The sequence below is a fragment of the Homo sapiens genome, chromosome 11, assembly GCF_000001405.40.
Source record: "Homo sapiens chromosome 11, GRCh38.p14 Primary Assembly".
Classification (NCBI taxonomy): Eukaryota; Metazoa; Chordata; class Mammalia; order Primates; family Hominidae; genus Homo; species Homo sapiens.
The window spans coordinates 20,945,648-20,970,524 of NC_000011.10; the positions used below are offsets into that span (position 1 = coordinate 20,945,648).

The window sequence follows — 24,877 nt, forward strand, 5'->3', positions numbered from 1 at the left end:
GATTTCCTCTACATTTAGCTGCTGATAGTAAGGTTACTAACTTCCATTGATTGGTAATAACTGGTTTGATTCCCTGTTGTAGAAAGTAAGGCACATCAGGTAGGGACACTTGCCTTAGGACTGGAGCTAATTTTTGAGGTTAGATACCACCCATCATGGTCTGGATTGAGGATTAAAAATGAAGTGCAGTTGCAAAGTGGGGCAGAGTGAGTAGCAGGATCGATTCTCAGGTCTTAGGGACAATTGTAAGATAGTCAGGAGAAAGTTAAGAGTTACCTTGGGAAAGATTGGGAATAAAGATAAAAGGAGAAGAAAAGACAAGACTAAGAATGCCAGAGGCTGGCCTGTCTGGACTGGAAATTCTGAGAAAGGAGAGGAAGCCATGGTGCAAATAATCCAAAAGATGAGCAGTTGGAAATTTATATTTGACATATACAATTATGTTACTGTTCCAATTTAAGAATGGGTATTCCTGATATAGTGGGAGTTCTTGCCAAACCAGAGAAATGTGGAACCACTGGGATGACGGTCTCATGAAGACGGAAAACTCAGTCTCTCCTGCACCCTTCTTGACTATACACCTTCATCCTATTCTTCCACCTGTGTTGGGAACTACCTTTTGGCCTTAAATGAGATGCCTCTTCTTGAGCTTGCTTCCTGGTTGACTTAAGCATCCCCTTAAAAATGGGAGAGAAAAAGTAAATGTTTTAGATAAAATAAGGAACTCTCAGCATTTTTAAAAAAATAGTAATTAATGGAATAATTTTTACAAATTGGCATCATACTAAATACAGATGCTAGTAATGTCAACCAAAAAGACCTTGGATGAAGTAAGGTCATAAAGATTCACCTTCTGAATATTACACACGTTATTGTAAGTGATTTTATATCTAGGGAAAATCTAATGCTCAGCTAACTGATCCTCTTTCAGTTCATTCCTGCCTACATGCCTTGGCTCTTTTCAGCTCTTTGCCAGGAAAGTCCCTTCTTCCTTTATTCCACTAATCAAGTTCCCTCAAAGCTGGTGTCTTCATAATTTCTCCCCACCTGAGCAGAGTTAATTATTATTCTATGACACATTATAATACTTTTATTAGAGCCCATTTTTAGGCTTATGCTGTGCTGTATGTTTTGTGGTTTCTAGTTTATGAGGCTTTATTCCTCCCTCCATCCAAACTGAGAATTCATTAAGAGCAAGGAAGATTTGCTGTCTATCACTGGGTTCACAAAGCCTGTTATCCAGGGGCATGCCAGAGCTCACATAAGCTCAATTATACATAACTTCTGAACATTGCTTTCAGTGATACCATGTTAGTAGCTCAAAATCAGCCATCACTGGAGTATTTACATCATAGAAATTAGGAAATGTTATAAATTAGGCCCCACCGGACCAAGAGTCGATTGTTAGACTTTTATCAGTGCATTGCTGTTAGAATCCTTCTGCTCCATAGAAGATACTTCAAAACTGTTGAATTTGAGGCTTTTAGGATATAGAAAGGGAAATTTACCTTATATTCCAGGGGTCTCATTAATTTAATTTGTGGCATTATCGTTTTTAGTGGAATCCCTGGGAGTATTAATTATTGTATGTTGTTATCACTGCAGGCTATTAACAAAGAACATTATAAGTTTGTTCCATTGACTAAAAATGTGAACATCTTTTTCTTTCCCTAATATTTGGCTTCCAGGGTGGAGTTTTAGTAAAAATTACAGAAATGTGTCCTCCTTTGAACTGCTCAGAAAAGGATCACATTCTTCCTGAGAATCAGTGCTGCCGTGTCTGTAGAGGTAAGTGGGCTTGGTGGTGGGCCATGCGTGGGGTGAGGCTGGGGCTGGTCTTCTGGGGCATGAGATTTTAATGAATAGTATGATAATAACATGGGTCCAAAACTCTGTGCGCTGCTCCTTAAAAAGTTGCATATCCTATTTACCTCTCTCAGTCATAGTCTCCTCAATTATAAAATGAGGATAATAATAGTATCTACTTTGTAAGACTGCTGTGAAGATTAAATGGGATAATGCATAAGCACCTACCATCATGCCTAGCATGTGACAAATGTTCAATAAATGATAGTTCCTATAATAATGCTAATGTTAGTTCTTATAATAATAACCATTATCATCATTATTACATTTTTCTCATGAGTGAGATTGGGAAGCATTCTTTTCAGCTCCGTCTTGTTGGGCCAGTTCCCATACTCTGGTAGAGAATGATGTATGGTGAATCCTTACTCATAGGTTAGATTGTTATGCAACATTTTTACTCCCTGCAAGGAAAAATGCATCAGATAAATAACACTTGGTTGCTAATTAATTATTGGGCAGAAATGGTTTTGCTTCATCTTCCTGGAATTGCCTTCATCCCAAAATTTATTCTTTATTTAAATTTTTATTTATTATTATTATTAGTTTAGAGTTAGAGTCTCGCTCTGTCACTCAGGCTGGAGAGCAGTGGTACGATCATAGCTCACTGTAACCTTGAACTCCTGGGCCCAAGCAATCCTCCTGCCTAAGCCTCCCAAGTAGCTGGGACTTCACAGGCATACACCATCACACCCAACTAATTTTTATTTATTTATTTTTTTTTTAGAGACTGGGTCTTGCTATGTTGCCCAGGTTGTCCTTGAACTCTTGGCCTCAAGCAATTCTCCTGTCTTGGCCTCCCAAGGTGTTGGGAGTACAGGCATGAGCCACCATGCCCAGCCTATTTTTATTTTTCAATTGTTATATAATAGTTGTGCATATTTTGGGTGTACATGTGATCTTTTGATACATGTATACAATGTGTAATCAAATCAGGGTAATTGAGATATCCATCACCTCAAAATTGATCTTTGTGTTGGGAACATTACAATTCTTCTATCTATTTTGAAAAAGACAATAGTTTATTGTTAAGTATAATTACCTTACTGTACTATCCAATAAATTCCTTTTATCTAACTGTATTTTTGTACCCATTAACCAAATTCTCTTCATATTCCCTCCCCCTTTCCCTTCACGGCCTCTTAAATTGATTCCTATGTCTTAAAACCCAGCTCAAGTATCACTTCCTCTCTGCAGCTTCTCACCCAAGCAGAATTAGATGAATTAGGAGATCCTAGGATTTGTTCAAAATCTTAAAAAAAAAAAAAAAAAAAAAACAGTTAAACTCATAGGTATTATTTTAAAACTATATCTACCATAAATACTTCAGATTCTCAAATACCCAGTAAGTGATATCCTTTTAATCTGAGCTTTGAAGCTTCCAGAGTTAAGGAGGTCCCTGCAGCATAGCAATTTAGCTCAGGTAACCTCATATTTTGCTTTTTTTTTCCTATCTTTTCTGTAGCAGAGGGGTGGCAAAAATTCTTTATAAAGGGTTACAAAATAAATATTTTTGACTTTGCCGACAAGAGGTTTCTGTTACAACTAACAGAAGAAAGTTAGCAAGAAAGCAACATAGATCATAGGTATATAAATGGGTGTGACCATGTTCCAATGAAACTTTATTTACAAAAACAGGTGGCAGCCTGTAACTGTTGACCCCTCCCTTAGCACCTTCTGGTGTATGAAAATGTTGTATGTTTCACCATTGCATGTTTTCAGCTTAGGCTTTCTGTGTTTGGTCATGAGAGCTCTGGGCTTTGGTAAAATTCTTAGGAAAATTTAGTGTGTTGATAGCCAGAAATGGCCCCTAGAATTAGTGATAGGCTAACTATGACATCAGAATATCTTCCTTGATTTATCTGCTTTCATGGCTATATTATCTGCAGCTGGTATGTTTTGGAAATACCTAAAGATTGAGTGGAATTTTCAGAGTGATGCATTTATTGGTTAGATAGAATGGTTAGGTAGGTCTTATAATTTAATGCAAAATTCATCACTTGCTATTTGTTGGGGTGCCAAGTGAGACTCAGTTTATGTAAATCCTTTCTGATTTATGGTTTCATTAGAGCAGAATCATTAATTAGGCCACAGAAATTCAGGAGGGATTTCATTGCCCTGACCCAATTTACAATAGAACAGGTGCCACTGCTTCTGTTAGCACTTGTCTGGAATGTGTCCATTACCAATGAAGATGCTGAGAGATGTGACATCTCATTGACAAGAAGCAGACATACAAGGTTCCCGTTGCTAGCAAGCAGTGGCATTTACCAAACCTGACTCAACTTTGAGGGAAGAGTGGGAGGCAGGAGGAAGACTTCATAGATTTGATCTTAGGCAGGGCCCGTCTATGAAATCAAGGGCTTTCTTTTTCATACCAGTTCCTTCTCAGCCAGGAAACAGCCAGCTCTTTTACTTGGAAGCTAATAGTTTTCTTTGGAGGTATGTGTGTGTGAGAAAGTTATTTTATGCTCTTTGACTGCTCTACATTTGGACAGGAACTAGAGCATGTCTTCAGAAAAGAGGTGGTGGGAGGGTGTTTTCCCGGGAGGTAGGTGAATTAACCATTTGGATTTCTTCTATATTACTCCCATCTCAGAGTCAGACTCTGAAGTAAAGGAGGCAGCATTGTTCACTGAGGCCCTTTTCAGAAACATCTACTATCATAACCTTCTTCCTTCTTGCTGACCCACAGCAGAGAGAATCCCAGAACATCCAGCCCACTTGTCCACATGCTAGGGCCTGCTCTTCCCATCAGGCAATCAGGAAATGAAAGGCATATTTAGTGAGATGTCTCTTTTTCATGAAACCCTGCAATTTAAATGACAATTAACAAAGAGCAATACAGATGAGTTCAAAAGTCTGTCATCTTGAACTAAGCCCCCCATGAATTTTGCTCCACATCTCTTAATTCCGTCTTTAAAAGTAACATAATCATCTCTCACAATTTTGTGAGAAATACTTTTCTTCTTATTTTTGCCTTTTCCTCTGCATTTCTGAGTGGACTCACAGGAGAAGGGGGTTGGACAATTACTATTCTGACAAGACCTGAAAAGCCCAGTGGACTTCTAAAGCAAATTATTTGGTTCTTCTTGCCTCCTCCCCTTCTCCCCTTCTCTGAAACAGAAAGTAATGAAAAGTCGAGAAACACTCAATTTCTATGTAAAGTAATTTGTATCCTGCATATGGAAAGGCAGCAGCATCGTTTGCTTTGTGGACTGATTGTCCACAGACTGGTTGGCAGCAAGGAAGCAGAGAGGTGGGACTGAGATGAGCTGAAGTGTGTATTTTAGGAAATGAGCACTGTGGTATGCTATAGCTGTACTGCTTCTGCCACCCTGATGTTGTTGATTACAAAAACCAAAGTGGCTGTGGCCTTTCAACACCTGCACCGAAGGCCTTTCAATTAGCATATTTATCATCTCTCTCTTACTGTGACCATCCGGTCATTAGTCTGAGAGAAATTACCCTATGACGGTATCATTCCTCAGAAGTCTAAGTCAAAACCTTTCTCATGCCTGCCTGGAGAATTTGAAGTTTTCCAAGGTTTATTTTCTTTAGGACTCTGATGAGTCACCTTACCTGGGGAGGCCTAGACTGGGAATTTGAGAAAACTTCCAGAGAGTGGATTTTGCTCACTGTCATTGTCATGTTAATGAATGAATGACATTATTTTCAGCACTAGCTGATAGGCTTTATATATTTTACATATGAAATAAGGTTAAAACCCATTTTTCTGAGTTATAACTTATTTCCTCAAGTTATAGCTTGCTAGCTTGATTATGAAGTTAATTTTTTTTTAACTTAGTCTTACCAAATTTTCTCATATGGTTACTGTCCCCCACCCCACAATTATTGACTAATCAAGATGGAAGATACAGGCTACATCTTTACATTTGATTTTTTTTCTTTGTTTGAATTAAACCTAAGACTTTAAAGTTAGTAAGAACAGGTTCTGACTGACTTATGGTGTTCACTGTATCAACAAACTGGTCTCCAAGCTAGGGGCTCAGATACCTTGCCTCTTCAAATTTTGTGTCATGTCAAATGCTGTAACTAATTCCCTTGTCTTTTAGGGAAAAATGAATATAACCAAGTAAACAGGGGGTTTAATCCACAGGGCTGTTGGAGCAGCTGGGACACCCATAGGAGAAGAACTATAGAATTGGTAGGGAAGAAACACGCAAAGGGAATCAAGGTGATGGATACTGGCGGGGAGAGGCCACTTTGTAGTTTGTGGGACTCATGGTCTCAGTCACACAACAGCACCACCCAGAACATCCTTAATCACCACTGCAGCTTTTCTCTGATACCTCAGGACAGTTTGTGCTGGCAACATGAAATTCATTTACCCTCCTCTTTACCTTGAGGTAATGGATGTAGCAGGAGCCTGACCACTTGAAGTGTGAGGCCATTAGGTGGAGAAGGGGAGTGTGCACTGGAATAACATCTGGGCTCCTGCCTGGGAAGAAGTAATAAAAGCATCAATATAGACCCAGCAGAAAAAGACTGCTCGTGAATTTCTGGTGCTCTCAGTTAAAGGATGAAAAAAAAAAAATGTCAACAATATTGACCATGTATTCTCAGGACCACTCCAGGAAAACAGACCCATCATTTGACCCATCCCGGAATTCTTGACATACTCCTCAGGGTTTTATTCCCCTGGTAATCAGCTCTAATTGTATCTTTAATGTTGCCAATGACGTTGGAGGATTTTGCTGCATGTTTATGACTTCTAGTGTTGGGAAAAAGTTCTTTCCGACATCTGTTCCAAATGCGTTTATCTGTAATTTTAATTCAGGCTCACTTGCCTTGTCATCTGGCCTGGACGGAAATTAGTTGAGATTATTTGTACTGTTAAAGATTTTATGTCCTTCAATTAAACCCTCCCTAAGAGTCTTGGCATCAAATGATTTTCCTCCCACCCAGTCTTCCTCATTGTTTTGGGTGAATTTATAATTGAAATGGTTTTAGAGAAAGGATTTCAGGGAATTTGAGAAGAAAAGAGACCTGAGAAAAAGGCACTTAATGAGAGTGTAAACTAGTGCCTAAATAGAGGAACTGGCAGTTCACAGATGGACCAGTTCCTCTGCATATTGATAGATGAGATCTGATCAAAATGCCATCAACTGTGGGCTAAAGTGGACTGGAAAGACAGGGCTATATGCTCAACTGTTGGGGCTGGGAACAGAGGATAGTCTTAGTGAGTAAATGAATTCATGGTCCTAAACGTGCTACAGTGGATCAAGGTCTATGAAGCTTCCAAAAGGAGGCACATTTTCCCAGAGAGAAAACCTGACACTAAGGCTAGGCTGCCTCAGACCTTAAGGGAAGACCCTTAAATGTTGACTACTGTGGAAGAAACCAATTGCTTTCTAAGCTAGAACCTGTGAGAGTCGGGAGTTCAGTCTCTATTAGGCCTGTCCTGATGGCCCTACCTTCTGTCCACAAAAGCTTAAGGATTATTCTCACTTTCAAGAGCCCAGGCTTCTCCTGTGTTATGTGTATTGATTGTGGAGTACATAAAGGCATCCAGTTCTCATAAAAGACCCTTTGGCCATATCCTTCTTAACCAGTCCATGGGTGGACCTGACTGTACATCTGAGGCACATGGAATATGCTGCCCTCACTATACCATTGCTCCTTACGTGAATTTCAAGGTTGGGTAAGCAGTAGTGAATATGAGAGGTATTGACGTTCTAAGATTTTAGAATAGAGGACTCTGGAGTGCACTTTGAGATTGTCCAGGTATATAATTTCAAAGGTAACCTGCCTGACCTGCTGGGGTATACTTTAGGGGCAGGAGATTGAGGAACTATTAGTGACCCATGTATTCCTTGCTGTGGAAGAAGTTACGGGAGTGAATCATAACGATGTATGTCTATCATTGGCTGCAAAAGCAAGAGATTAAGCAGAATCAGTGATGATTCCTTGATAACTATAAACAACATAAAGTGGGATTTGGAGAGTGGCAGTGTGGGGGGGCCTCAGTGTAATAGGCAGAGCTTATTATATGCAGATTAGGCTAATGAATTTAATGAAAGTAAATCATTTTACTAGTGTTACTGGTCATTCATGGCAACAGAGCTCGATACAGGACCACCACTGCATCCAAATTTTAGGCTGCTTCCAACCAGAGGAGAAAGTGTGACCCCAACATTTACATTTTCTTTCATTAATTTCTTTGTACATATCACGGGCCCATGCTGCTGTAAGCATTTGGAACTCTTATTCTTTGTCCAGCCAACCTCATTCATCCTTCAAATCTCTTCTTTAAAACATTGTGTTAGGTTTCTTCTCTGCATACATTCCTAGAGCACCTTGCCCCTCTCCATCATGATATCCCCTTGTAACCCAATGCTCAAAGACAGTCACCCCTGCTAGAATGTAGGATGAATGCGGACATGTTTATGGTATTTTTTGCTGTATTCCTATTGTCTGGTATAATGCCTGCACATGTGCTAGGTGCTTAAAATTTGCTGTTCTTAGGAGGACAGTGGAAGAGGACAGTGATTAAGAATTCCAGCCTCAGTCGGACTATGGCTCTGTGTACCTTCCACAAGTTCACTGCCTTCCTCTAACTTCAGTTGCCACATCTGTAAAATGGGGATAATAATTCAGCTTCATATAATTGTTATAAACTCTTATAACAATTTTATGGGATAATGTATGTAATTTTATGGGATAATGTATGTAAAACACTTAGCCAAGTGCCTAGCACATAGTATGTGTTCAATAAATGTTAATTATTGCTGTTATTACATCTGTAGCAGATTATTTGGGGTTCTCCAAACTTACTCCTTGTTCTTTCTTCTTCCTCTTTGGTTGTCATTCCATTTCTCCCACTAGGATCTGTGTCCTGCTCCTATCAAGTTTCTACCTATTACAGTTTTTTGTTATCTTGAAATGATTTATCCTTCTCTGAAACACTATGACATTTTTTCCTGCTCACATCTGACTTAACAAAGATTGCCTTGATTGAGGCCATAGGTGGTTTATTGCCCCTTAGGGATTATAATTTCCCTGCGGGCAGAGAATATCTTAAACATTTTTGAAGTGTCTCCAGATAATTATGTGGTGCTGCAGCCCACAGAGTAGAGGCCCCATAAATATTGAGTGAATGACTATTCACTCACTTGTGCAGAAAGGTAAGTGGGCATGGAATGAATATTGCTTGAATAAAGGCCTCCATTAATTTAAAAAACACATTTTTGAGAAGAATGGTTAGGCATAATCAAAGTGGATTTGACCTGAAGGTGAGTTTGTCTCACCGGCCCTTCACTGTCCTTGAAATACAATTTACTCAACTCCGGGCATCATGATTTGACATGGTACATGCTTAATAGAAACATATGCATTGGAAAATCAACACTGTTTGAAGGGCTTTGTTCCAGGCTGTCAGATGCATGTGGAAAGAAAAGGACAGTTAAAGTCTACTGGAAAGAAAGAGAAAAGAAACACAGACAAGGAATACGTGTGATAAAGGATGCACATGTGCCGTTGAGTCAAGCTTCCTAATGAAGGAAAATGTGACCATTTAATCTAATTATTGATCAATTCAGACATGGGAAGTGAAGTCCAGGCTCCTCCTCTGGAAGAGAGACACGTGATGCCTAAAAGTACCCCTTTGGTAGGAAAAAACATCAAGCACTGCTAGTTTTAATGATTATTGTAAGCCTCTCAAGCCCTTATAGAAGTGTTGTCAACTGTCAGAGGTTTCAGATTTCCAGCCAGTTAGACTCTTGCTCTGATTTTTGACTGAGGCAATCACCAGTTAACAGGTCATAAGTAGTGAGGCTGGATGTAACTCATCTAGGCCTATGCATCTACTCTCTAATGTCCCAAGGAGTGGCTACCTCTTTCACTTTTCATAACCAGGTTTTGCTATCTGAGAGGATATATGACATAGTGAGAAGCACATGGGCTTTGGAGTTAGCCAGACATTATTTAGAACCCTGGCATTTCCACTAACTACCTAGAGATTTGTGAATTTGTACTTTTTATCTTGAAGTTGAGGATAACAGCATTAAGTTATTTTGAACTTTAGTCATGATTGTTGAAAATATCATCATCATTATTAGTGGCCACCATTGACTGACCTCTTTAACAGGTATAAGGAACTGTTTCAAGTGCCTTACATGGATTAGCCCATTTAAGTTTCTCAACAACATATTAAAAGGTATATATTATTATTCCCATTTAAAACACCTAGCATGCCAGGCATATTATAAGTGCATGAAACTTATCATTATTATTTAATAACAATATTATTATCTTTCAGAATAAATTCTCCAAATATTGTTGGTTTAAAATTTTATTTCAAAAATAATTCTAGAATGTTATCACTGAAAGGAATTAACTTGACTTTATCTAGTGGAGTGATTTCCATATTTTTAAGCCAGGAACTGTAATTAACATGATCAGTATGGGCCAGGCACGATGGCTCATGCTTATAATCCCAGCACTTTGGGAGGCTGAGGTGGCTGGATCATGAGGTCAGGAGTTAGAGACCAGCCTGGCCAACATAGTGAAACCCCATCTCTACTAAAAATACAAAAATTAGCCCGGCATGGTGGTACACGCCTGTAGTCCCAGCTACTCTGGAGGCTGAGGCAGGAGAATCGCTTGAACCCGGGAGGTGGGGTTTGCAGTGAGCTGAGATCACGCCACTGCACTCCAGCTTGGGTGACAGAGTGAGACTTCGTCTCAAAACAAAACAAAACAACCATGGTCAATATGTCAAAAATATAAAAGATTATTCTATTTGAATCAGAGGCAGAGGACTTGAACCCTGTATAACAACTCATCTGTGCCTAGGGCCCTGAGGAACACAGTTTAAAAATTACTAATTTCAGGCTGGGTGCGGTGGCTCACGCCTCTAATCCCAGCACTTTGGGAGGCCGAGGCGGGTAGATCACGAGGTCAGGAGATTGAGACTGTCCTGGCTATCACGGTGAAACCCCGTCTCTACTAAAAATACAAAAAATTAGCCGGGCATGGTGGCGGGCGCCCGTAGTCCCGGCTACTTGGGAAGCTGAGGCAGGAGAATGGCATGAACCCGGGAGGCAGAGCTTGCAGTGAGCTGAGATCACGCCACTGCACTCCAGCCTGGGCAACAGAGCGAGACTCCATCTCAAAAAAAAAAAAAAAAAATTACTAATCTCATCCGTTCGCCATATGCATACCTAGAAAAGCAAAGTGATTTATACTGTTTGTTAGCTGCAGATCCTAAATTATAAATTCGATCTCCTGACTTCTAGATCCATTGTTTTCTGTGAGAACACAGTATGTGATATAGCATAATTATTGTTTACTAAAAGTACTGATTTAAAGATGATAAAGCATCTTTATATACTTTATCATATTTGAACTTCTCAAATTTTATGGTAGATGTTACCTATTCCTTCTAGTTCATCTAAAATGCTGCCTAATATAGAAACAACTTTCTGGAACATTTGGTGGAGATGGCAGTAAGGGGGAGAAAAAAAACAACTGGAGACCAGAATATAGAAAGAGGGTGATTCCATTGAAATAAGCAAGTACAGTGGAGTTGACGTTTGCCCTGAGTGCAATTTCGAGTCTCTGGTGGTTTAAAATATGGCTTCTAGTGGACACTGTGTAAGCAGACAGGAGACATCCTGGGGCTAGTATGAGAAACATAAATCAAGAACCTTAAAGGGTGAATCCCTCCATGGGTGAACTAGGAAAAATCCACTCTGCCCAAAGAGACTTGCCTGTCAGTCTTGACTCTAGATGGAGGTCTAGAGGAGAAAATCTTGCATTCCTAAAAGCTTAGGGCTAGACTTTATTCCACCTGTGTGGCTCAACCTTCAAGCACTAAGACAAAAATGTAGTTGAAAGTCATCTTGGGTTGATAGTTCCCTCAGACCCCTGACAGAAGGAAACACAAATCCTCTCTGAAGAAATGCAGTTTAAAAACCAAAACCTCAAATCTCACACATTAAATTCCAAAAAATACGAGCTTACAGATAAAAGAATAACTCAAAACACAAGAGAATAAGCTATCATGCATGCTATTCAGCATAAACAACAAATGGCAAAATTAGATGTGCAAAGCCTGAAGATATTAGAATTATCAATATAAAATATTTATATGTAACATGTTTAAAGACATTTTTTAAAAAGGAAATTTAAAAAAATGAAAGAATAAGAGACTATCAAATTTGACTAAGCAGACTGAAAAAGAATCAAATAGGATTCTAAAAATAAAAATACAGTAAGTGAAATTAAAAATGATGTGGGTGACTGAAAGAGAATATAACACACCTCAAGACAGAATTAATAAACTGAAAGATACATCTCAAAATGATGCAGAATTCACCATAAAGGAAAAGAAACAGAAGATATGAAAGCAAGTCTAAATAACACAGATGAGAGCTTGAGAAGAAAGAACATTTATCTAATTGGAATTCCACAAAGACAAAATAGAGAAAAACGTGGAAAGGGAATGTTTGAAGAGAGAATATCTAAGAATTTTCCAAAATGATGAAAGATTTCATCATCTTTCAGATTCAAGAATCTCCCCAAATCCTAAATAAAAATACATTTATACCTACATATCTTAGATTAAAACTGAAAAATACAAAACAAACAAACCCCAACAAGGCTGGGTGTGGTGGCTCATGCCTGTAATCTCAGGACTTTGGGAGGCCGAGGTGGGGAAATCGCTTGAGCCTAGGAGTTTGAGACAAGCCTGGGCAACATAGTGAGACTTCATCTCTCCAAAAAAAAAATTAGCTGGGCCTGGTGGCACGCACCTCTAGTCCCAGCTACTCAGTTGCCGAGGTGGGAGGATCACTTTAGCCCATGAGGCCGAGGCTGCAAAGAGCAACGATTGTGCCACCGCACTCCAACCTGGGCAACAGAGTGAGACTCTGTCTCAAAATAACAACAAAACCCAAGCTAACACACAAATAAAAAAGATCTTAAAAGCATCCACAGAGAAAGGGGTTGCCACATGTAAAGGAATGACTATTAGATTAATAAGTGACTCAGCAGCAATAATAGAAGCCAGAAAACATGGAATGACATTTTTAAAATGTTGAGATAAAATAACCGTATACCCAGTAAAACTATTTTTTAAGTATGAAGATAGTCTAAAGACACATTTAGACAAATTGAAATTGAGCACAGTCACTATCAAAAGATACTGAAGGAACTTCTAAAGGCTATATTAGGAAGAAAAATTTCTTGGAAGAAGTAGCAGGGAACAAGAAAGACTGTTAAGCTAAGAAAATGTTGAACATGTGGCTAGAGAATATGCCCCAGGAAGCATGTTTAAGAAGGTTTTTTAGCAGCTTTGTTTCTCAGTGAAAACCCGCAAATAGCTCAAATGTCCATCCATGGTATAGGCATACCCTGGAGATATTGTGGGTTCGGTTCCAGACTATGGCCATTAAGCGAATATTGCAATAAATGAGTCACACAAATTATTTTTGTTTCCCAATGTGTTTAAAAGTACAGTCCGATGGCATTTTACTCACTGGAATGTCTTTCAAAATTGGTGCTGATCCTCCTGCTTTGTCAGCTAAGTTTATATAATATTCTAAATCCTTTGTTGAATGAATGAACCCATAGCTAAAGGCATTCACATGGATGAATAGAGAAAAGCACACCATAGTATACTAAAAATAAAATGGATGTTGGCGTGGATGTGGTGAACAGGGAGCACTTCTTCACTGCTGGTGGGAATGTAAACTAGCACGACCACCATGGAAAACAGTGTGGAGATTCCTGAAAGAACTAAAAGTAGAACTAAAAGTAGAATTTGATCCAGCATTCCCACTACTGGGTATCTACCTAGAGGAAAAGAACTCATTATACGAAAAAGACACTTGCACGTGCATGTTGATAGCAGCACAATTCACAATTGCAAAGACATGGAACCAACCCAAATGCCCATCAATCAGAGTGGATAAAGAAACTGTGATATAGATGATGGAATACTACTCAGCAATAAAAAGGAATGAATTAGTGGCATTCACAGCAAGCTGGGTGAGATTGGAGACTATTACTCTCAGTGAAGTAACCCAGGAATAGAAAACCAACCCTCATATGTTCACATTCATAAGTGGGAGTTAGGCTATGAGGATGCAAAGGCATAAGAATGACATCATAGACTTTAGGAATTTAGGGGGAAAGGTGCCTGGGGTTGAAAGATAAAAGACTACAAATTGGATGCAGAGTATACTACTTGGGTGATATGTGCACCAAAATCTCACAAATCACCGCTAAAGAACTTATGTAACAAGACACCACCTGTTCCCCAAAACCTATGGATATGAAATATTTTTTAAAAAAGCATACCATAGAAGATATATACAGTAAGATTTCCCTCATATGGAGTTTAAAATGGGCAAAGCTAAATGGTATATTGTTTAGGCATAAACACAAATATGAAGTAAAGCTATAAAAAGCTGCAAGGGAGTGATTAGCTCAAAATTGAGGATAGTTATCTCTAGTGGCTGGGAGGGAGATTCATTGGGGAGGTACAATTAAGGAGTTTTGATAATCTGGTTGTATTCATTTTATTTTATATATTCATATATATTAATTTTATTACTCTTTGTATTATAAATTTTACAAGAAAACAAAATTATAAAAAGAGTAGTCATGTAAGAATGTAGTGAGAAGAGGATGCAGGATCAGCATGGATAAAAGCATTCAGGTAGGAACAGCCTCAGCAAATTTGAGTATGGGTGGGGGAAAGCCTCTTACGCCTTGGACAGCCCAAAGTTTCCTATATCTATTCTGCCACTTTCCTATCCAGTTTATCCGTGCATACTGCCAAAGTGTATTTTCCTGCATAGTGACATATAATAAAAAATGTTACATACTTTATTTTGGGGAGTTACTTTATTTCCTCCTTTTCTGATGTACGTTTTTATTTGTTTTTTCTAGGTCATAACTTTTGTGCAGAAGGACCTAAATGTGGTGAAAACTCAGAGTGCAAAAACTGGAATACAAAAGCTACTTGTGAGTGCAAGAGTGGTTACATCTCTGTCCAGGGAGACTCTGCCTACTGTGAAGGTAAGTAAGCTATTTAATGAAGTCACTTGTGAGAGGTTGACTGAGAAGTGTATGCCTGGTAGATGTGGTTAAAGAGTGAAAACTATCACTTGGCTGTGGTCCTATGCAATCCTATAAGAAATCATATCAATTGCTGAGGGTTCTCTGTTCTCCTGGTTTATCCATGCTGCTCAGTAGCATGAGAAAGCAAGACCTTTGAAGGTCGTTATGAAGCACGGCAAAGAAGCAAAGGCAACAGGGACATATCAAATCCCATGTTCTGCTGCTGTGCACATAACAATCACTAGATCAACCATAGACACATCATATTCTGTTTTCTTATTTGATGAGATTGCCATCTTCATATTTAATTAAATGTACAGGGTGGTTTCTGTTTTCAAATGATACTTTGACATTAACTCATACTAGGCTGCTGTCTCCTTGACCTGACAAGATCAGGTTTTTATTCTTTTTAGTGGGTTTCTTCGTGACTGGTTCATGCATTGCCAATTCCCAATCTCTACTAAAAGTCACAGTAATGGAGGGACTCATAACTTTGGCACATGGGCTGATGCCATTACAGTGGGATGGTGGCCTCAAGCATCAATGACCCACATTTCTGCTCTAGAGAAAGCAACTCCTCCGTCTTAAGAGAGCACCGTTTTTTCAGGCTTAGTACTGCAACCTGCTAGTGGTGAGCATTGCATATATCTATTACCTTAACATGCCAGAGGAGTGGGAGTTAGTTCGACCTGGTCTGTATGTATAGTACCATAATATCTGAGCCCATCCATTTCCAACGTGCTCATGGCTCCCTTCCATCAGTTTGCAAAAGCTTTAATAAGCAAAGTGATGGCTGGGCTATTTTTCTGTTTGTTCTGATTCCAATTATTCCTGCTGTCTTCATTAATAATACCTTGCACCATGATGATTTGGGTAGTTGTCTTCAATGAATGCTGCAAATTCCTGGTCACTTTCCTCTAAGTGGTCTGGCTCTCAGATAGGTCAGGTATTCTAAAGGTAAAGACAGTATTAACTGATGATAGTAATGGTAAATTCTTTCTATTCTCTATCTCATAGTTGACCCTCGAACAACACGGGTTTAAACTTTGCATGCTGACTTATACATGGATTTTTTTTCAACAAGACACAAGTCAAAAATACAGAATTCATGGGATGCAAAACCTGCCTATATGGGAGAGCCATCTTTTCCTATAGAGTGGATTCTGCAGAGCCTACTTTGGGATTTGAGTGTGTGTAGATTTGGGTATACACAGGGGCCTAGAACCAATTCCCTGCATATACCCAGGAATGACTATATATTGTTAATCCCTGCTTAACTTTTTGGCTTTGACTAAAGACCTCTAGTTATCAAGAGGATATATCTTATTACTACTAGAGACCAGTACCTTGTAGGAACCCTCTGTTTTTTTCATTTCTTCTGGAAGACTTTCTTTGTTACTACCATAATTTTTATTAACAATATATTCTAATAATATATAATAATTTTGTCTTCTTATTTTTCACTGTTTTTTTGGCTTGTTTTATGGATTTGAAGTTTTAAGGAGACATGTCACTTGGGAGAATGAAACTGTCCCTTTGCTTATGAACCTTTTCATCTGCCCTTTAATACATCTTAGTTATTTGTTAATTTGGGGTGATGGGAGTATCAATTTCAATACTTCATATTAATATTTATGTTTAGATCTTCCCTTATGCTATTTTCTATCAGAAAATTTAAGTAATTTTAAGAATTAAAAATGTGAGTATTCCCACTATTTACCATGGAAAAATCCTGTAAGCCACATAATGGTCTAAAATATTTACCTTCTTACCTTTTCCTATATGCAGGGATAGACGTCGAACAATTATAAAAATGATAGAAGAAACCTCAAAAACAATGTGAATCCTGATTACGCCACTGGCAGACCTTTTAGTTGTTTGTTGAAATCAGCATAGCCACCATTCCTGACCCCACTTCTCTATTGAGACCCAGCAGAATATGAGACAAAACTGCTGGTGCTAATGCTGTTTGGGATTCTTTGATTCATTTCTCATTGATGTCATTTTTTATTACAAAAGACTGGCTCCATGAGGAGCCATCTGCAGTATCAACCTGATCTTTCTCTATGAGGCCTTATTTTATAATGCTGAGTGGATTTTAGGTCTGAATCACTGTTTTCTTGGGCATGCTCCTGTTTAGCTCAGTGTATGAGCCTGGCCTTAGGCCAGTATGCATTGTGGTGCTATTGCGGTTGGGTAATGGCAATGTGACTGGGCTTCAGTCATTTCCTTGTTGTATGGAGACTTTCCATAAGCTCCAGGGGATGTGTTCTTGGAGAGAAGGATAGCACCTAAGGAGAAATGGCTAAACATTGGACCCCTCCTAGCATGTAGGAACATAGCTCATGGGTTAAAGCAGGGGTCAAATACTGGGCATCCGGCTGGGAGGCACAGAGAACCCAGTAGAGTGAATGCCAACATTTAGAGCAGATGCCTTTCTCGCATTCCTTCTGCCATCTTCAGCATTTGAACTTTGATCTTTGGGCCTATGTTTCCGTGATTGCATGATGACTTCCATAGCTCTAAGAATGGTACCCTCACAGCAGCATCCTAAGCAAGGAAGAGAGGAAGGGGCAGGGCTTAAAAACCTTGTCTGTGTGAGGTTCTGTCATTTTATGCTCAAAGAAAGTCCTTCGTAGAAAGTCATTCCCCAACTCTACCCCTATTACCACCATAACCACATGCAGAAGACTTCCCCTGTGTTATTTTTCAGACCCAGGTTACACCACTTCTATCCTCACCACACACACACTTCTAGACCGATGTTTGAGAAAGGAGAATGAGATGGCCATCACTGCTTTGGGCTAATTGTGTTTATTCCCTGGAGCTGGAGGAGAGGTTTGTCTTCCTGAAACCAAAAGAGCTTTGCTGGTTACAACAAAATAGGGTTTTAACCCTATTCAATAAAATAGGGTTTTAGCAACCATTCTTTTATGATTACATTTAGATGAATTAAATGAGATAAATGGTCATGCAGGCCATTTCCCCAGCTCTCTCCTAAGAATTGCCCTTTGAAGTGATCGGGTAGACAAGCTTACAGATGGCCAAATGCCCTCCTAGGAACAGAGACTCTCTGAGGCTTCATTCGTTGTCTCTCCACAGCCTAGAAAGAAGTAAATACTTATGAGCTGCTTGAAGCAAGTTATTTTTACTCTGAGTAAATGGGATGAAAATGACTCATACGATAAAAACCACAGTGAACAAGACTGGCTTGCAAATTAAAACAAAATATTACACACATTGTCCAGGCCATCTTGAAAAGCCTGTTCAGGCTCTCAGTGGAAAAGGAAGCACCAAAGGCTTTCAATTTTCTTAACTTCCTAAGGTAGAAGCAGAGAGGTGGCATATTGGCTCCTGCTCTGTAGAGATTGTCGTAGAAACTGCCGTAGAGAAGATAGCTGAACTCCTGGCCAATCAATAGAAGATAATAAGACCTTTTGTCAGCTATGATACAATTCACAGGAGGCTGTTTCATTTTGCCTTTTCTGACTCCAGGAGGAGCATTCTCCATTTTGAAAACTGCTCTAGTTGGATTTTAATGTTTTAGGAATCTTGTCGGCTGAGGCTTTTTCCTTTTTTAATGACATTTTCAACAGGTTGGTCTTAAGTAGTTTCTGATGCATTAGGAGTAGTGTCTGAGGAAAGTATAGCAATAGGGGCCCTACTCATGATCTTAGTTCTTGAATTTGGAGTCTACCTAGATAGAGTCTCATAAACTTTTTCTTTCTGTGATAAAAAGTTACTTAGAAGCATAAAGAACAATGTAATATCATACACATCATGCCATCTGTCAGGTGTGGAAAGCACTACAATTAACATTAAATGATAATACCTTTTACTTGCAGAGTGTTTTAAATTTTTCAAACTCCTTTTATATATGTTACACTTTTTGAACGTTACAATGAATCTTTGAGAAAGTTGCGGCATTGGCCACATTAACTCCATTTTATGAGTACAGACAAGAGGATTCAGAGAAATGAAGTAAAAAGATGATCCTCAACTCATTTCTACTCTAGAGCTTTCTGCCTGACTTAAATGCTCCCTCTTCTTCCACTACCCACACTGTTCCAATACTGTGCTAGTGTTCAAAATGTTGGTTGCCCTCCCGATTTTGCCGACATCAGTTTTGGCTAATGAAATGTGAGTGGACGTGACATGTAGTTTCAGAGTAGAACCTCAAGGAGCTTTTGCAGAATTCCACATCGTTCTCTTTTCTCTCTGAAACAAAAACTGGCAATGTTCCAGGTCAGGGCTTCTCCTTTAGCTGACATCCCAGAATGAAGATGACATGGAACCGTGTGACAACTGACAGGTGATGGGTATGTGGCATGAGTGAGAAATAATCTTGTATGCCACTGACATTGGTAGGATTTGGGGGTGGGGAGTTATGCTACCTTGTGCGTAATAGCGTAAGCCTACGATATGTCTCCCTGAATTAATGGATCCAACTCTTGTGGGTTCAGAAGGATACCAAAATTCAGAGCTAACAACTGAAAGCAGTTTTTAATAGAGCAAGCATTGAGAGTTACCAAGGTACAAATTGTTGAGTCATCAGGAGTTTGCTCTGGCACTGCTGCCAAGCAACAGATTTTTTACAGACCACAAGTTATAAAGCAATGTTTTGTCATGCCAAATTCAACATGGTAAATGGATTTCCCAATTAAGATGATAATGAAACAGTGCATGTCAGAAATTTAGCAAATTGTCTGGTATTCACTAAATATTGAATAGATCACAGTTATTATTACCATTATTATTTACTTAAATCATTAATGTTTATGAGGATCTTTCTTGGAATTTGCAGGAGTGTGTGCTCATTGAGACCAATACTTTGAGAAAGAGAAAGAGACCAAATTGGCAGGTAGCAGGGGAGAATACATTTAGATGGAAGGACTAGGGTTCATCAATTCTTCCAGGTGCATATTGTTAGCAGTGGGGCACTAAGCCTAATAATGTATAGGTGAACTCATTCCTTCCTTGGAAAAACACAAGTGGAATTGTATTCAAGGAAATATTTTGGAAAAAAATGACCTGAATTGGTATGAATTTAGTAATTTCATGTAACAAAACTGACATGTCTGAAACAGAGCAGCTGATTAGCAAGGTGATTTATAACTTCTTTCATATGACTAGAGGTGGTGGTGAAGGGTCTGACCCTTAGAATGGTAAGAGGCTGGGAAAGTGGTAGAGAGATCAGAGTTCAAACAGAACGCAGCCCACAGAATACCTAAGTGGGTAGATACTTACTAGACATGGAGACTAATGTAAATGCACTTCTATAGAAACAAGATCCTGCAAATTCTTAATTAAGAGATTGTGTAGAGGAAATGGGCTAGTTTACTTAATTACACTTCTAATTATCCAATATTTAGGTAACTTCTTTTACATTTAAATATTTTGCATTTTATAAAATGTGTGAACATCATGATCTACATAGCCCAGTTTCTTCTCAAGTGTGGGCTTCAGTCTCCTAAAGCTCTACTTTAGACAGCAAAGCATTGCTTTAGTTCGTTCATGCCGCTGTAACAGAACACCTGAGGCTGGGTAATTTACAAAGAATGGAAATTTATTTTCTCATGGTGCTGGAGGCTAAGAAGTCCAAAATGAAGGTGCCAGCATCTGGTGAGGGCCCTTTTGATTCATCATCACAGGTGAAAGGCAGAAGAGCAAGAAGTGGGCAAGAGGGGGCAGAACTGGCCTTTTTATATGAGGGCAGAGCCATCATGTCCTAATCACCTCTTAAAAGTTCCACTTCTTAATATTGTTACAATGGTGACTAAATTTCAACATGAATTTTGGAGGGGACAAACATTCAAACCATAGTAGAGATCAAAAGCCTCTTCTGATTGGTCATTGTCAGCAAAACCTTAATTCTTAGTTCCTGCTCCCATTTATTTCCAGATATTCAGAATGCTTGAGATAAGAATACCTTGGGGTATCTTTCTTTTCTGTTTTCTCATTAGCCTGCCTCACTAATGGAGAGATCTTCCAGTACCCAGGTATCTGTCAATCCCCACCTCCCCTTTCCAAGGCACAGAGATTCCTAGCCTTTGCTTTGTTCTGGATAACTAACATGTCATCTTCCTCCCAGCAGGAGATGCAGCTGAGCCTTGTTCCTGGGCCTGGCTTTTCTCTGCCTCTGCTTTGTTATTTCCTAGGCTACTTAGCCAAAGTGCATCTATTCCTGCTCTCCTACCCACTTGAAATCTTCTTAACCATCACCTCCCCACCCCCTGCCGCCCCCTGCCCCGACACACACACGATTTTCTTCTTGAAAGTATAACACAAAGAAAAATAAAGTTCAAATTCAAATCCTGGTTATTTCACCTAGGGTTAAAAGAAGGGGTAAATTCCTAAGCTCTGCCCTTAGGAATGAACCCCAGTCAAACTAACCGGGGCAATGGTCAGGATGGAACTTCAAATAGCACTGTTTTGTTTTTGTTTTGTTTTATTTTATTTATTTTTTACCACGCTTCATGCTTCAAAAATTTATTTGCAAGATATATGCAGAAATTTTAGTTATTTCTTTGTGACAGAAGTGGTGTAGGCATTGATTAGGTTTTCAGGCCAGTTCATAGAAGCCCAGGGCATAGGTATTTACTAGACACAGAGACTCGTGTGAATGAACTTCTGTGGAAACAAGACCCTGCAAATTCTTAGTTAAGAGATTGTATAGGAGAAATGGGCTAGTTTGCTTAATTATGCTTCTAATTATTCCAATACTTAGGTAACTTTTTTTTTTTACATTTTTTACATTTAAATATTTTGCATTTTATAAAATGTGTGAACATCATGATCTATGTAGCACCACGATCTTCATGTAGCTGAAGTATTGTACTACAAAGATATCCTGAGTTCCAGGGTGTTGAAAACAGAGAATCAGGTACTTTTCTCCCAATTTCGGGTAAGGGTACATCCACTTAGTTGCTCAGGTCATAAGACATAGACATCATCCTTGATTCCACTCTTTTCTTTATCCCCAACATCTGCTACATCAGAAAGTCCTGTTAGCTTTACCTCCAAAATTAATCACAAATTCACTCATGTCTTGCTGTCTTCACCACTACCACCCTAGACCAAGCTTCCTTTATCTTTTGGCTAGTGATCCCAGTAGCATCCACTCTTGCCCACCATAGTCCATCTTCAAACATATTTAAAGTGAGCTTTTTAAGTGTAAGCAGATTATGCTACTCTCCTGTTGAAATTTGTCTCATAGCTCCCATGCCTCTTAGAATAATACCCAAATTTGGTCCTGTGTCAGGCCCTATGTGAACTGGAACCTGCCTACTTCTCCAAATTCATCTTGTTTCACTCTCTCCAGTGTTTACTCTTTTCCCATCACACTGGAATTCTTTGCATCCCTCCAATAGGCCTGTGCAGTAGTTCTTTCCTCAACCTGGGAGGCCCTTCACTCAGATCTTTCCAAATCTGCTTTCCAGGCCTTGTTCAATATGTAGTTCAAATGCCACTTCTTTAGAAAGATCTCTCCTAACCACGCTGGCTAAATTAGCTCTGCTGCTATCATCAGTTACCCCCTATACCATTTGAATTTGATTTAATGTATTTTCTTTGTAGCACTTATTCTTTGAAATTGTGTTGTTTTCTTATGTGTGTTTTTCTGTTTAAAGTTTTATTATCTGACCCTTTGGAATATAAACTGCATGAGGGCAGCAATTTTATTTTATTCACTATCTCTAGCACCTAAAATAGTGCATGGTACATTATAGACACACAAACATTTGCTTAAAGAAAGAAAGGAAGGAAGGAAGGAAGGAAGACAGTGCTTTTCTGTATCTGACACTGTTTTCTTATGTCAAGTTCATTTTACTAGCATTGCTCAAGGGCTGCTTTTTAAAGTGCAGAGTCTGTAGGTCAGGGGCTGCTTCTGCCCACTTTTGCTAATACTCAGTTCATGTAATGGTGAAACGCTGTGTGTTAACTTTATTTCATATGAACGTCACTGCCTTTATTTGCTACGGAATGCCTTTCCTTCACTACATGACAAGAGGGTAGCTGTCCCTTCATTTTGATAAAAAGATAATGGTTTTTCAAAAAATCATTTTATCAGCTGTTTATAGAAAATTGGTTTTCTATAGATTTTCAAATGGATGTTCCAGCTTAACACGTGGCTCCCCTCAAAACCATGATTCAGGGACCCTGGCTCCTTTCCTCTTGTGGTCCTAGCATGGGCAGTATGTGCCTCTCAAGGTCACCAGGGAAGGGGAAAAGAATGGAAGGTTACCAGTGGGAGGTTTTTATGGGCCAGGGCTGTTCACATTTCACTGGCCAGAACTCAGATGGTGGCTCTATCTAACTGCAAGAGGGGTTGGTAAATTTCGTCTAGCTGTGTTCCCAGGAGGAAAGAAAAATCTGTTTTGGTGAGTGGCTTTTTGATCTTGCCAGCTTTTCCAGTTATTTAATGAAAAAAATCTCCTCATTAATTATAAGCGTTTTACTTTTTATTTATTTCCTTTTTCCCATAAATGAGTTCTAGCTTCAGTTGATTGTGCTGAAGCTTGCTCACTTGGAGACCAGATAGGATTTGACTACTTAACCATGCCCTTTTCACTTTCCTGTTGTATCATCTCCAGGCTTCCCTGTGCCCCCCACTGTATCATCTCATTTGGATTTATTCTATCCTCAATATTCCTTATGTCTCAAGGTGACCCATCTCCTTTCTCTCCAAGCAAAATTCACAGTTTCCCCTGTGCTGCAGTTCTGAGTTTTGTGCTAGAAAGAAAGCAATTCATGGAACAAGCTTACACACATTTGTAAATGATTGATATCCAGCTAACACTACCAGAGGTAAATGTATTCTTTAAAGAGGATGCTTTATAATTAAGAGAGTCTTCAAACCATTAAATTCCAAGCAACATAGCAAAAGAAAGTAAAAATTAAAGTAATGTGAACATGGAAGATAGAACTGCTTAGAGGACTAAGCAGATTGTCTCTGCCTGGGAGTTGGTCTTGGTGGTCAGCTATCCTCAAATATTTCTGTTTTCTAACATTTTTCTTCCCTCCATTTTTTTCCCCTGACAACTCTCAGGGGAGTGATGTAGTAAAGAACAAAGCAAAAAACATTGAAATAGGGACAAGAAGATTTTGATGGATCCTGACTCTATCATTTAGCAGCCGGGTAACATTGGAGAGTCACCCAATTCTTGTGTGTTTTGGTTTCTTTCATGATCTAAACAGGACTTTTCAACAAGGCCAAAATAAAGGCCTTACTTTACCAATTGGTTGTGGAAGCTAAATAAGATATTGAATGTGAAAGCATTTTGCAAAGGCTAAAGCAGCATAGCTATGTATTGTAACATTATTTATAATTATATTATCATGCATTATTATACCAACAATATTATTTTAGTCATTGGCAGTATTTGTTCTAGAACACTAGAACACAGGTCTTTAGATCTTCATGGCGTATATAAATATCTAATCTATCTCTCTGTCCATCCATCCATCCATCCATCCATCCATCCATCCATCCATCCGTACTCTGAACATAGAGATATATCTACCAACATGTATATTGAGCCATAGTTTGTGTAGAGTCATTGTGGGCTTTATAAAAGTGGGGCTTCTGTGTTGTACAACTCCATGGGGCATCATTTATGTAGTTGTCTAGGTGAGTGGCAGCTGCTGGAATTATGCAGTATAAAGTCTGCAAGGTTGTACACTGCAGCCCTACGAAAGGCATAAAGGAAAGGGTCAGGCCCAGAGTCTTGTCTCATTCTTTAAGTGAAAATTAATTGACCATCTATTGTGGCTGGGTCTTGTGTTGGCTAAAGATGATTAAGCCATAGATCGTATCCTCAAGGAGCTTAACAGTTTAAAAGGGGGAAAAGAGCCTTGTATCAGATAAGAAAATTACAATAGGATTTGTTCTATCCTAGGATTTAAATAGTGTTGTAGGAATACA

At 39.0% G+C, this 24,877-nt stretch overlaps 1 protein-coding gene across 4 annotated transcripts in view, besides 1 other annotated feature; it reads left to right on the forward strand.

Annotated features, from left to right (window-relative positions):
• Nucleotides 1-24,877, forward strand: part of NELL1 (neural EGFL like 1) — a 906,136-nt gene that overhangs the window by 276,097 nt on the left and 605,162 nt on the right. For all 4 annotated transcript variants that reach the window (NM_001288713.1, NM_201551.2, NM_001288714.1 and 1 more), the window contains 2 exons: nucleotides 1,689-1,788; nucleotides 14,785-14,913. In NM_001288713.1, the coding sequence (NP_001275642.1) occupies nucleotides 1,689-1,788; nucleotides 14,785-14,913 (229 nt within the window). The remainder of the gene's footprint in view (nucleotides 1-1,688; nucleotides 1,789-14,784; nucleotides 14,914-24,877) is intronic.
• Nucleotides 20,726-21,292: an enhancer, noted in NCBI's record as "OCT4-NANOG hESC enhancer chr11:20987919-20988485 (GRCh37/hg19 assembly coordinates)". NCBI's record gives its function as "activates a minimal SCP1, AML or CMV promoter by ChIP-STARR-seq in naive H9 embryonic stem cells {active_cell/tissue: H9 hESC(naive)}" and the evidence as "EXISTENCE:reporter gene assay evidence [ECO:0000049][PMID:30033119]".